The following is an 11,964-nucleotide window of genomic DNA, read 5'->3' as shown; positions in this document are numbered from 1 at the left end:
TGGCTACTAGTAGTGCTCTATTTAGAGCTATTCTGCTTTTTGTGCTGAGGTCCTGGTAGGGAGGGCCTGTGCCTTGGCTACTGAATTTAGAGTCACCCTGCGTACCCGGCTCTGCAGACCCCTTCTGATACAAACCTGCTTCCCTCTGTGAAATATTCAGCGTCTGGGTCCTTAAAGGGTTGGTCTCTTAAGTCTTTCCGGCTTGAGAACACCTCATCTACTACGTCTACGCAATAGCGTTGGGGAAACTGGTCTTGCAACTTCGACATTTCTACAGGCAACAGGGTAGCCGGGTTGAGGGTATTCGCGGTTTTTAAAGTTACGTATGGATTTCCACATAAGAGCCCCTGATATCTTAACATTCTTGGATTAGATAGCCAGTGATATATCCTCTTTGCTCCATTAAGGTGATCACTGTGTGTGGCACCCGTATTATTAGCTTTTGTCCTGGTGTCAGCTTCCAGCATTTTCTGCCAGCATGGCAGTGGCAGCTAATGCTTTTAAGCAGGGGGGCCACCCCAGGGCCACAAGGTCTAACCGCTTTGATAAATAGGCTACTGGTCAATACCATGATCCTACTGTTTGAACTGAAACTCCTGTAGTCATTCCTTTTCTTTCATGGACATAGAAAAAGAAAGGCTTAGTCAGGTCTGGCAATCCCAGGGCTCGAGCTTGGCTTAAGGCCTTTTTGATCTCATTAAAGGCCTTCTTCTGCTCATTACCCCAGAGGAGGGGCTCTTTTTCTCCCCCACTTTGTGGCTTCATACAATGGCTTTGCCGTGAGTGAAAGGTTTGGCATTGAAGTACAGCAAAAGCCTGCTGCCCCTAAAAACTCCCTTACTTGTCGCCGGGTGACAGGAGTGGGGAGCGCACATATGGCTTCCTTCTGCCCACTGCCGAGTTCACGCTGCCCTTGGGCTACTAGGAAACCTAGATATCTTACTCTTTTTGCACAGACCTGAGCTTTTTCCTTAGACATCTTGTAACCTGCCTTCCATAGAAGGCAAAGGAGATCTTTGGTGCCCTGGAAGCAATCTTCCTCGGTAGGTGCCGCAAACAAAAGATCACCAATGTATTGTAACAATACACACTTGTCATTTGGTGGGACAAAAGCCTTGAGGTCTGATGCTAGTGCCTCTTCAAAGATAGTGGGGGAGTTTTTGAACCCTTGTGGGAGCCTGGTCCAGGTGAATTGTGTTCCTCCCCATTGGAATGCAAAAATAGGCTGACTCATTGGAGCTAGCCTGAGGCAGAAAAAGGCACCTTTTAAGTCCAAACAGGAAAACCAGGCAGCATGAGCAGGAATGTGGCTCGTCATTGTATACGGGTTTGGCAACACCGCATGTAAGGTAACAGTAACTTTATTTATGTCCCATAGGTCTTGCACAGGCCTGAACCCACCAGACGGTTTTTGCACTGGTTAAGAGTAGAGTATTCCAGGGTGACTTGCATTTCTTTATGATCCCATGTTCTAATAGCCGATTTATGTGCTTGGTCATTCCTCGCACTGCCTCTGTAGACACCTGGTACTGGGGAATACGCACTGGAGTTGCACCTGGAACTAACTTGACTACCACTGGTGCCCGGTTTATGACCAATCCTGGAGGACTGTCTTCTGCCCACACCTCAGGTATTTCAGTGACTAGTTTGTCAAATATTCTGTCCATAAATTCAGACAGCCTGTACACCTCTTTTACATATAGCCTCCATTCCTCAGTCTCGTGGAGGGTAAGAGTTAACATCATAGCTTTTGGTCAGCTTAGATCCAGAGTCATGTTTCCTTCTGGCCTGAAAGAAATTTGTGCTTGTAGTTTCTGAAGCAAGTCTCTCCCTAACAGGGGCACAATAAAGTCCATCTTTTGGCCTCCCACTTTCATAGAGACCAGGGGCTCCTGGAGGCCTAGAGAGATGGAGCCCAGTCTGTCTCAGTCCTTATATTCCTCAACTCCTGCTAAGCTGACCAGATCGGCATCCAGCTTTAGAACAACGGCTAGTGGCTGCAGGCCTTGGGCGGGCATCAGGTCCCTGGCTGCTACTTTCTTCCTTTTCTCTTTCTGGACATTCAACCTTCCAATGCCCTTTCTGTTTGCATTCTTGCACACTGATCCCTCTCAAGCCTAGGCTGGCCTTCAAACCCTGGCCTAGCTTGTCCTCTACTGTGACCACGACCAAGTCCGCGTCCTCTCACAAAACCAGTCTCTCAACCAGAGCAGCAGCCAACAAATCAGCCTTTTCCTTGGCTTTGTGCTTTGCCTCTTTCTTGGCTTCCTCCTCTGGATTAACAAACACCTTAGTAGCTACTTGAATGAGCTGGGTAATATACATAGCCTCAAAACCTTCCAACTTCTGAAGCTTCTGTCTAATGTCACCTTGTGCCTGGCCCATAAATGCCACGTTAACCATGCATTGATTCCCTACATCCTCCAGATCAAACGATGTATAAAGCCGGTATGCTTCACAGAGTGTTTCATAAAATTCACTGGGACTCTAATCAACCTTTTGGCATACCTCTGAGACCTCTCCCAAATTCGCTGCCTTTTTCCTTCTGGCCTTTATTCCATTAAGGGGTGCCTCCCGATACCTATGCAGGTTTTGCAATTCTCCTGCCTGGTTTGGATCCCAATTTGGATCTGCTTCTGGGAACCTCTTCTGTGCCTACCGCTTAACATCATTTGTGCCTTCAGGCGCATTGCTTTCTAACCACTGTAAGGCTGCCTGAGTAATTCTCCTGCGCTTTTCTGTATTGAACAATATTAAAAGTAGCTACTGACAATCAGGCCAGGTAGGGTTATGAGTCAGAAAGATGGACTGCCTGAAGTCTATGAGGGCCTGGGGCTTCTCCGTGTAGGAGGGTGTAAGCTGTTTCCAGTTTAGGAGGTCAGTCTTCTTCTGTCAATGCCTAATGTTACATATTTTCCTTTATTCCACTTTGAGTCTGAGGGGTTTGTGATTATCAATTCTAAAGGATCACAGCTCCCACTCGTGCAGGAGGGGCTGCCTTTCCTTTTTGGAGCCAAACAGGATATTTTTTTTATCTTCTTTCCAAGTAGCCTAAATGACACAAGACCAGTACTGACACATCTCACATAAATATGATTTTTGACAGATGTACTTATTTTCTGCTGTGTAACTTTTTTCTCAATCTAGAGAACCGCATTCTATCCCATGCTGTTTACTATTAATAGCGGCACAAGCATCAAATTTTAAGGTTACATTTTTGGGGACCCCTCTTTCTTCTGTTCTAGCTATTACCTTACTTGTGTCACCTAGAAAAGGACCAGTCCTTAATTTTATTTTAAAAACTGTGATCATGGGAGGCTTAAAATGGGTCATAACGCGCATCAGGTTGGTTATTTCCTGGGCTACATACCTTGGATAGAATAGCATTATACAAACAAGTTTCTTTTAGAGTCCTGGTACACTTATAATAACCATAAAATAATAGGACTGTAGCAATCTTTTGTCCTACCTTAGTGACTTGATGTATATACTGGAAACAGTTCTCAGTCTGAGGAAGGTCAGTTGAAGTCCTTACCGTTCAAGTCCAAATTTTAAGGAAAATGAGTCTGTGATGAGTTTCCTCATGTTTCAGCCGTGCGTGGACCAGTCAGCTTCCAGGTGTGACTGGAGCAGGGCTTGTCGTCTTCTTCAGAGTCACTTTGCAGGGGTTGGCGAAGCTGCTCCCATCCATGTACAGCTCCCAGCCTACTGATGTTTAAGGGTGGTCTCGGTGGTTGGGCCTACTAGAATAAACTGAGTCCAGATATGGTTAACTGGGCTCTCTGATACCAGGAGGAAGGTGGCAGGGTTTAGGGTGTGCAAACGTCAATGGTTATGTGGGGATTTTCACAGAGCTAGCTTTGGCATCTAGTTAGTCTAGCATTCATCTAGCATGGTGTCCTTTGGTATTTATTAAAATCACCACAGCATGGGGGGAGTTTATGTTTAGGTTTTGTGTAAGAGTTAGCTTATCTGCTTCTTGTGACAGGGCCGTTGCTACCAGGGCCCTTGGACATGGGGGCCAGCCTTTGGAAACCCCATCTAGTTGTTTTGAGAGATAGGCCACTGGCCTTGGCCAGGGCCCTACAGTCTGGGTTAAAACTCTAACTGCCATTTTTTTTGTTTCTGACACATAGAGCGTAAAGAGTTTTGTCAGGTCAGGTAGCCTCAGGGCTGGGGCCGACATGAGTTTTTCTTTTTAACTCATGAAAAGCTCGTTGCTGTTGGTTGTAATAGATGTAGTTTATCTAATCTACATTTTTATTGACTGTCATCTACCAAAATATTGACTTAAATCCTGTAACTATTTGATTTCAAGCTTTAAATTGATCTGGGACTCCTTGCGGGGCTTCAATTGCATCTAAATAGATGTGAGAGTTGAAAGACCTATAAGGAGCTTTTCTCGCTTTATGATGTCTTCTTCTTATTATTATTTTTTCCTCTTGTTGATGAAATGTCAGGGTGAAAGGGATAGCCAAATGGACTAAAGCACAAGTGCCACTCTAGTTACTCGGCAGAGTCCCCAATAAAGGTCTACCACAATACCACCACACATCCGCTTTGGGATGAACAAGGGCTGACTGATTGATAAGCTCTTGAAAATTCTTAAGCTCACTGCATCCCTTCAGGTCTCCAAGGAATGCTAAGTCTCCTCCCTGCCATGAGAGACACGTAGTGAACTTAGTGTTGGGAGATGGAAGCTGGATGGCCCTCGGGGGCTGACCTGCAGGGACTTTGGGATATAGCAGAGAGAGCTTGGCATGACTTATTACTCCAGGCTATAGAATCCTGGAAAAGAGCTACCATGCAGCCCATGCCTGGCCGACTGGAGGACCACCTTAGTGGAAGGGGGACAATCAGGGCCTCTGGCCTGCCATGTGCACAAGCATGCTAATTGCTTTTGTTTAACCTGCAGATGGAATATTTGATCCATTTCAACCAGGCATTTGCATCTTGGTATGCTGTCTTAATTGCCAAAGTTTGTTTTAAGTCTTTAACTTTTATGATCCTCTAGTAAAATGAATGCTTCCTTTAGCACCAATTTTTATTAGTTTTTAGACAAAAGAAAGCTAAACACTATTTTATATTTACTAATGCTTCCTGTATGACTTTTATACCAGATAAGCTAAATTTTACCTTTATATTAGTGTGTTATTAATGTTAAACTTAATTTTAATAAAACCTTGTAGACATATTTATCCAATTTTTTATGTTTGACCATAAGGTAAGATTTTATAGACTCTTTTTAACCTTTTATAATTTTTGTTAAAGAGCAGGTTGATGCTTTAAGAAAAACCTCTTGCATTTTTACTTTAATGTCCAGTTCACAGAAAAACTGGATGATACCTTTTTAACCTTAGCTAATATGTTTACACACAGAATTTTTTTTATAATTAACGTTTTAAAGCTTGCTTAAACTTTTAAAACAATAATTTTTTTAACCTTTTAATGTAGGTAAAAATCCACGTTTATGCCCCTTTATAATTTTTTTTTTTACCAAAGGTATATTTTACTTTTCTTATACATCTTGCACATGAACTGGTTTTTTTTTTTTAAATAGTACTCAGGAGGCCTCATTACTTTTAAATTATACAATATTTTTTGCATAAAAATTTTTTTTTATAATTTTTTTCTCACGACTTTCCCAGACAATTTTTTAACATGTCTCAATTTTTTGACTGATTAACAAACTTTTTTTTCTTTAAACAACCAGTTAATTTATTTCAGGACAAGAATTTACCATATAACTTTTTTTTAATATAAATTCTGCCTCCCCCCTTTTCTTTCCTTTTTAAAAAAGCGAACTTTCTTTATGTCTTTGGACTAGACTGTCTAAGGCCACAAGATTAGAAGTTACCAAAATACATGTTACACTGTTAACTTTTAGCAAACTTCACTTTTGTTGAAAACCTTGTAAGTTTGAGATTTCAATTATCCTTTGCTATTAATAAGAACTTGTTTAGTCTAAACTCTTAGAATTGGTACAGATGGCCTCTTTTTCTCTTTTCTGGTCGTTCCTTGGCTCTGCCAGCCGCTTATGCTGCTGTTCTCTTAACTACTGTGGTGGGGGAAAGGGGGTCTAAAACCAGCTGTAACTGTCTATGTACAGAAACCGGTCTGGGTGCTTTGGCTTACAGGTTACCTTGTGCCATACCTTTGAAACAAGGGACCTGTCCAGGCTTCCTTCTGGTGGCCAACCTACCTCTAATGCTAGCCAGTCTATTTCACACAAAGTTCTAAGTTTTCCTGGTGTCATACTAACACCGTAATCTCCTTTAAATTCTCTCTTGAAAAAAAATTTTTTTAACATAGGTCCCAGTGGGGTGGGCTTACTTTGCACCTGACCCATGTTTTTTTTTTTTTTTTTCCAGACAAAATACCACGCTCACACCACACATACCACAAGACAAAGAACAGGTAAAGAGGGCACACACACTTTTACCGTTTATACCAAACCAAAATCACGAAATTCAAAATCCGAGTACCAAAAAATTCAAGCCAAGTCAAAACCAAAACCAAAGTATCCAGCAATTCAAGTCAAGTCAAAACCAGAACAAGAGTGCCCATGCAGGCATGCTGTGGGTGATCAGGCCACGTTTCCACTCAGATGGAGTGGGGCAAGTTCCAAAGACTAGTCTTACCAAGTCAAGCCAAGTCAAAACCAGAACAAAAGTGCCAATACAGGCACACCGTGGGTGATCAGGCCACGCTTCCACTCACGTGGAGTGGGGCAAGTTCCAAAGACTAGTCTTACCAAGTCAAGCCAAGTCAAAACCAGAACAAAGATGTCAATACAGGCACACCGTGGGTGATCAGGCCATGCTTCCACTCACATGGAGTGGGGCAAGTTCCAAAAACTAGTCTTGACAAGCTTCAGATGTCTGGACTTCAAGTGCCAGTTCCTTCCCGGTGTTCAGCCAGTGTTAATCCTTCTCGGGAGCCTGCTATGCGCTGCTCTGGCAAGGCATTCCACCGGGGCCATTTCCTACCCGGGAGCGCTCTTTGGATTGCGTCAGTCAGGCTGGCCGGAGTCCTCTGCAGGGACGCTCCACAGGGCTTGTCAGTCACCTCGCTTCCTGGTCAGGGAACCAAGGACTGTAGCAGGACAAGCCACAGACAAAACCTCTCAGACACGGAGCTGTAGAAGAAAGGGCTTTATTCAGCTGGGAGCATTGGCAAGCTACTGCCTTAAAATCCGAGCTCCCCGAGTGCACAATTTCTGTCGCTTTTAAGAGCTCACAACACTAAAATTTCACATGAAAGGGTCGTGATTGATTTGAGCAAGCAAGGGGTACGTGACAGGGGCTGCATGCACCGATGGTCAGGGAGAAACAGAACAGGGCAGGGAGTTTCACAATGTTCTTCTATAGAATGTCTGGAATCTATGAATAACATCGGTTTCTAAGTCATGAGTTGATTTTTAACTACTAGGTTTAGGCCAGGCAGGCCCAGGTCCAGTTTTGGGCCTGGCGCTGGGCTGCCTGTCTTTGATTTCACTTCCTTTTTTTTTTAAAAAAAAAAAAAAAAACAGGTACTGAGTATAAAACAATATGAGAGGGTCTCTCTCTTCCCTCGCTTTAACTTTCGGAGGGCTGAAATTCTTTCTAGCCTTGGTTAATACAGCAATTCATTCCATTCTAGCTATTGTTATTTCTCTTACTATAATTTTACTATTAGTACTTACGCTATTCTATTATTTTCTTAATTTTCCACTTAATTAGGATAACAAACCGAGGCCGGGCTCCCATCCTCCTCAAGCACACGAGGGGGGCCTGGCCCAGCAGGGAGCTTCGCCTGGTTTCTGAGGGAATTCCCGGCGGGCCTTTCCAAAACATGCCCGTTCCCTTCCGCTAACTTCAGGGGCCAAGAATTGAACTTTCACCCTCCTCAAGCCGGTGGCGCTGCCTCGCTGGCGTTCCCAGCGCGCAGCCAACCGGATGCCAGCCGGCGGCATTACCACTGCCAGCATGGGGCGCCCGCGGACCTCCGACTGAGGCAGCTGCCGGGAGCCGGAAGTGTCCCGGGCGCCGGGACTGCGAGGGGGCCGGGAGTTCCCCAAGACCGGAAGTGTCCCGAGGCCGGGAGCCCGCGGGACCCCGGAGCGCGCGGGGCCGGAAGAGGCGGGCGGCCAGTGGAGGTCCGCAGAGTTTGGGCGCCAGGCGAGACGGCAGGGCTTAAAGTTCCGGGTGAGGCGTGGGTCCCACAACCGCTTGGAATTTGCCTCCCGGCTCCGCTCTGGAAGCTAAGAAGGGGCACGAGAGCCGGAGACGGGAACCTGAGAGCAGGGAAGCCAGTAGCCGGCCGGAGGAGCGCGCGGCCGCTCCAGTCGGAAGGAGCCGTTGCAGCCCTGCCCGGCGTGTGGCGGGGTCAGCGAGGCCCCTGCGGTGCTTCGCCCGCGCCTTCCGCTCCGCACTCACCCGCCCTCTGGGCCTCCCACAGGTCGGCGCCGCCAGCGGCGGGTACCGGCCCGCAGAGGGAGGGCGGGCTGTGAACTGGCAGCACATCGCGTTCCCGCGGGGCCCCCATTCTGCCCAGGCAGGGAGCGGCTGGGATGGGACTGAGGTCGGTCCGCGAGCGCGGTGCCCCAGAGACCCGGCTTCTGGAAGTTGCCGCGGCCTGCTCTTGGGGCCCAGAAGTAGGGCGGGGAGGCGCGGGGTCTGGAGTCTGCAGGACCTGGCTGCGAATCCAACCAGCTGATTTCAAACTTTTCTGTGATCTTCTGCAAGTTAACTAAGTCTCAGTTCCTCGTTTGCGAAATGTACTTAATAGGCACCCCAGGGTGAACTAAATTTGTCCGCACAGACTGCAGCATTGCGCTTGGGAGGCGCCTTAGGGGGTAGGAGTCACTAATATCACTGAGTTTTGACAGAAATGAAGGTGCATTGGCAAAGGTGTGCCCCATGGCCGGGCAGGTTAGGAGGAGGGCCTGGTAATATTTTTTCTTAAATTGTAAACAGCCATCTGGATGAGCAATGCATTATCAAATTATGATTCAGAGAGGACTATCGCTGACTACTCTTTTTTTTGGGCAAACCTCCGCTTCAGGAGCTTCTGGCTTGATTCCTAAGTGGAAGGTAGAGACCTAGGCCCTCTGAGTCACAACTCCATCTCTCTGGGTGAGGACTGAGCTCCAGGACTGCTGAGTGGAGGCAGAACAATTGGGATAGGGAAAAGAGAGGCCAAACTAGATCAGAGGCTGGCGTGGGCTTCAGAATCTACAGACTGGCACAGTTAATGCCTCCGGGCCCCTATTGCTGCTTCAAGTTTGACCAATCAGAAGTATCTTTAGCTTAAGGGCGGCGTGTTGGCCAATGAGACTTTATTGTGAAATAAAATGCCCTCAGTTTCATTTAACTGAGCCACCATAGAAGAGTAGAGAAATCGAGTTGGCCAGATGAGGGAGAGGCCATTAAGAGGTATTTTAGGGATTGAATGGGCTGGGCACCCAGAGGACAGTGGCATTTGGGGTGGTAATGAGAAGGAACATTAGGGGCCTCCGCCTCCTTCCGTTCCTCCTGTGCTGAGTCAGTCAGCACAGAGGCTGCAGGAGGTATCTCTGGTTGGCTTTGGCTGCCTGTAGGGGGCACCAGCTTTGGGGAGGTCAGAGGGCTCTCTCCTGAGCTGCTGTCCTGCCCACAATCACACCTGCCTGATGCCTGTGAATGGCCGTCTGAGTCTCTTGGGCCTTGGTCACTTCTGGCCTGCCCTGCACCGACCAGTAACTGTGCCTGATGACTGGAGGTATGGGAATTCACCGGACTTTATTGTTCTTTGTAGGAATCAAAGATCAACTCCCACTGAGGACAAATGGACCTGTAATTCCGGGTGTGACGAGAGAACGAGATTTACCTTCCTGAATTAAAAAACAGGTCATTAAGCTTGGGCCCTGACTCTTCTTTGTGAGAAGGTACAGAGATGGAAACCTTACAATCCGAGACTAAAACGAGGGTCCTTCCCTCATGGCTGACAGCCCAGGTGGCTACAAAGAATGTGGCACCAATGAAGGCCCCCAAGAGGATGAGAATGGCAGCAGTGCCAGTGGCAGCAGCAAGGTGCGACAGCTCTGGTCAGAAGACTCCTGCGAATCTGGCAAGTGGAGCAGGGGCCTCCATGACCTGGGCCAGGTCTTCCAGCCTAGGCAGAACAGCAAGATGGGCGGGTGTTTCAGTCTGATCATCTCTTGAGCTTTTAGAAGGTGGAGGGGCTGTGGGCGGGAGGCAAAGCGGGTTAACCCTCGAGGACAGGCACCCACTTCTGCCTCTGCACTGGTGAGTGCCCTGCCCTCAGCACACACAGAGTGGGTTCTCCATGTCAGCCAGTCTCTGATGCCAGTTGTCCAGAATGCCAGTCTCTTCCTTTACAACAAACATGGTAACATCAGATGGGCAAGATCAGTGGAAGGGTCTGTTCTGAGTGGTGCCTGCCCCTGTGGACAGACCTTTAGGGATGGACAGATGAGCAGCAGCTGCAGGGCCAGCAAGAGCTAAGGAGCTGGGGAGTGAGTTAGTTGAATGACGGTAATTGCCGGGGGGGGGCGGGGGGGGGGTGGTGAGTCTCCAGGCTGCACTGTGAAGTGGGCGGGGCCCCAGCACTCGGTGTTTCCCTCTCTGGCTCCTCCTCCTCTAAGGTTTCCTGACTGACAGCCTTCCCTTGTGACTGCTGCCGTCTTTCCCTAAGTCTGGTCCTGCTTTCAGGTTCCTCTCAGTACAGCCTCAGCCCGAGGTTCCCTTCCTCTTGCATCCATGTGTGTGTTTCAGAGGCGGCCATCCTTCCCTACTTCCAGATCCTTGTAGGGCAGTTGGTGGAGGGTGGGAGGCACCCCGGTGTTGCCTCCATGAAGCCCTGTGCCAGTCACTGGGCTGCAAGGCTGAGGAAATTGTGTCCGTGTCAGAAAGCTCCTCAGCTCAGAGGTGCTGGTACCTCCTGCGTGGTAGGAAGGCAGGGGGAAGAGGCCCTGCTTCTCCTGTTCTCTTTGCCCTTATGAGACTTGAGAGTCTGTGTCATCTGTGCCTTGCATGTCTTTTTTTCAGACTCCCTGCGACAAGGACTGTGTACTGCATGAATGAGGCTGAGATAGTTGATGTTGCTCTGGGAATCCTGATTGAGGTAAAGTCAGACAAGCCTCTTACTCATGACCAGAAACTCTGCATGGGCAGAGGCTAGACCCTTGGTCACCGTCAGTAAGAGAGACGCCCTCTGCCGTAGGCTACCTCTTCTTCCTCCTGCCACTTCCCTTGCTCTTATCTCGGCCATGCTGCCCAGGCCTCTCCCCATGTGGGTGTGCGCTCGTGGGGTGTCTTTGAGGCTAGAAGCCTGGGAGGGCATGCGTGTGTTAGGGAGGGCGTGTGTGTGTTAGGGAGAGCGTGACTGTGCACTGGTGTGTATGTGGATGGGACATGAAGCGTTTACCTGTTTGTGTTCTTGGAAAGGTTCCCAGTTGGGTAGATGACTTCTTAGCCATTGCCCCTCTCCTGAGCAGAGGATGCTGAGCTTCCTAGCTTCCTGCAGTAATAATTGCAGTGCCTCAGAGTTGCACAGCATTCTACAGTTTACCAGGTGCCTTGAAAGCATGCGTTATGTCATTTTAGCCTTGCAATAACCCTGTGGTGTGGGACTTTTCCTAGTGCTAAGGCATGGGCCCACACCCAGGTTTTGTATCCTGGGTTCTGTCACCGGCCTTTCTAGACATGTTTCTTCCATTTCTTTTTCCTTTCCCCTCAGCTAATCCTCATGCCTTTGCTTGCTTCTCTCCCGAGTGGGTTCTGGTTTCTTCAAGAGCTGTGAAGAGGGGGTCAGGGGAAGGAGTGGGGTGAAGAGAGGGTGGGTGCTCAGGATATGGGTACATTGCCTGGCCTGGTCACATTGGCTTTGTAGTTGCTTCTAGATACATCCTGTGTTACTGACAGATCAGCATGTTAGGGAAATAAAACACGTATGTTGAGCCTGCGTTTTCCCGTACTCCAC

General features: G+C 47.9%; 1 protein-coding gene across 18 annotated transcripts in view, besides 3 other annotated features; it reads left to right on the top strand.

Annotated features, from left to right (window-relative positions):
- The first annotated feature begins 6,368 nt into the window (after nucleotides 1–6,368).
- Nucleotides 6,369–11,964, top strand: part of CYREN (cell cycle regulator of NHEJ) — an 80,167-nt gene continuing 74,571 nt past the window's right edge. For 2 of the 18 annotated variants that reach the window (XM_017012595.2, NM_001243751.2), the window contains exons 1-3: nucleotides 8,131–8,186; nucleotides 9,778–10,089; nucleotides 11,031–11,106. In XM_017012595.2, the coding sequence (XP_016868084.1) occupies nucleotides 9,916–10,089; nucleotides 11,031–11,066 (210 nt within the window). In that variant the 5' untranslated portion in view covers nucleotides 8,131–8,186; nucleotides 9,778–9,915 and the 3' untranslated portion in view covers nucleotides 11,067–11,106. Of the gene's footprint in view, nucleotides 8,563–9,363; nucleotides 9,417–9,777; nucleotides 10,090–11,030; nucleotides 11,942–11,964 lie in introns of those variants that run through there. The other 16 variants (NM_001305630.2, NM_001305629.2, XM_017012591.3 and 13 more) reach the window with 15 other exon arrangements.
- Nucleotides 7,391–7,610: an enhancer, noted in NCBI's record as "active region_26708". NCBI's record gives its function as "activates an Ori minimal core promoter by ATAC-STARR-seq in GM12878 lymphoblastoid cells {active_cell/tissue: GM12878}" and the evidence as "EXISTENCE:reporter gene assay evidence [ECO:0000049][PMID:35858748]".
- Nucleotides 7,991–8,600: a silencer, noted in NCBI's record as "silent region_18676". NCBI's record gives its function as "represses an Ori minimal core promoter by ATAC-STARR-seq in GM12878 lymphoblastoid cells {active_cell/tissue: GM12878}" and the evidence as "EXISTENCE:reporter gene assay evidence [ECO:0000049][PMID:35858748]".
- Nucleotides 9,691–9,820: an enhancer, noted in NCBI's record as "active region_26707". NCBI's record gives its function as "activates an Ori minimal core promoter by ATAC-STARR-seq in GM12878 lymphoblastoid cells {active_cell/tissue: GM12878}" and the evidence as "EXISTENCE:reporter gene assay evidence [ECO:0000049][PMID:35858748]".

This window comes from Homo sapiens, chromosome 7, assembly GCF_000001405.40.
Source record: "Homo sapiens chromosome 7, GRCh38.p14 Primary Assembly".
Lineage (NCBI taxonomy): Eukaryota > Metazoa > Chordata > Mammalia > Primates > Hominidae > Homo > Homo sapiens.
The sequence above is the reverse complement of the archived record's forward strand: the minus strand, read 5'-3'. Positions and strand labels throughout refer to the sequence as shown.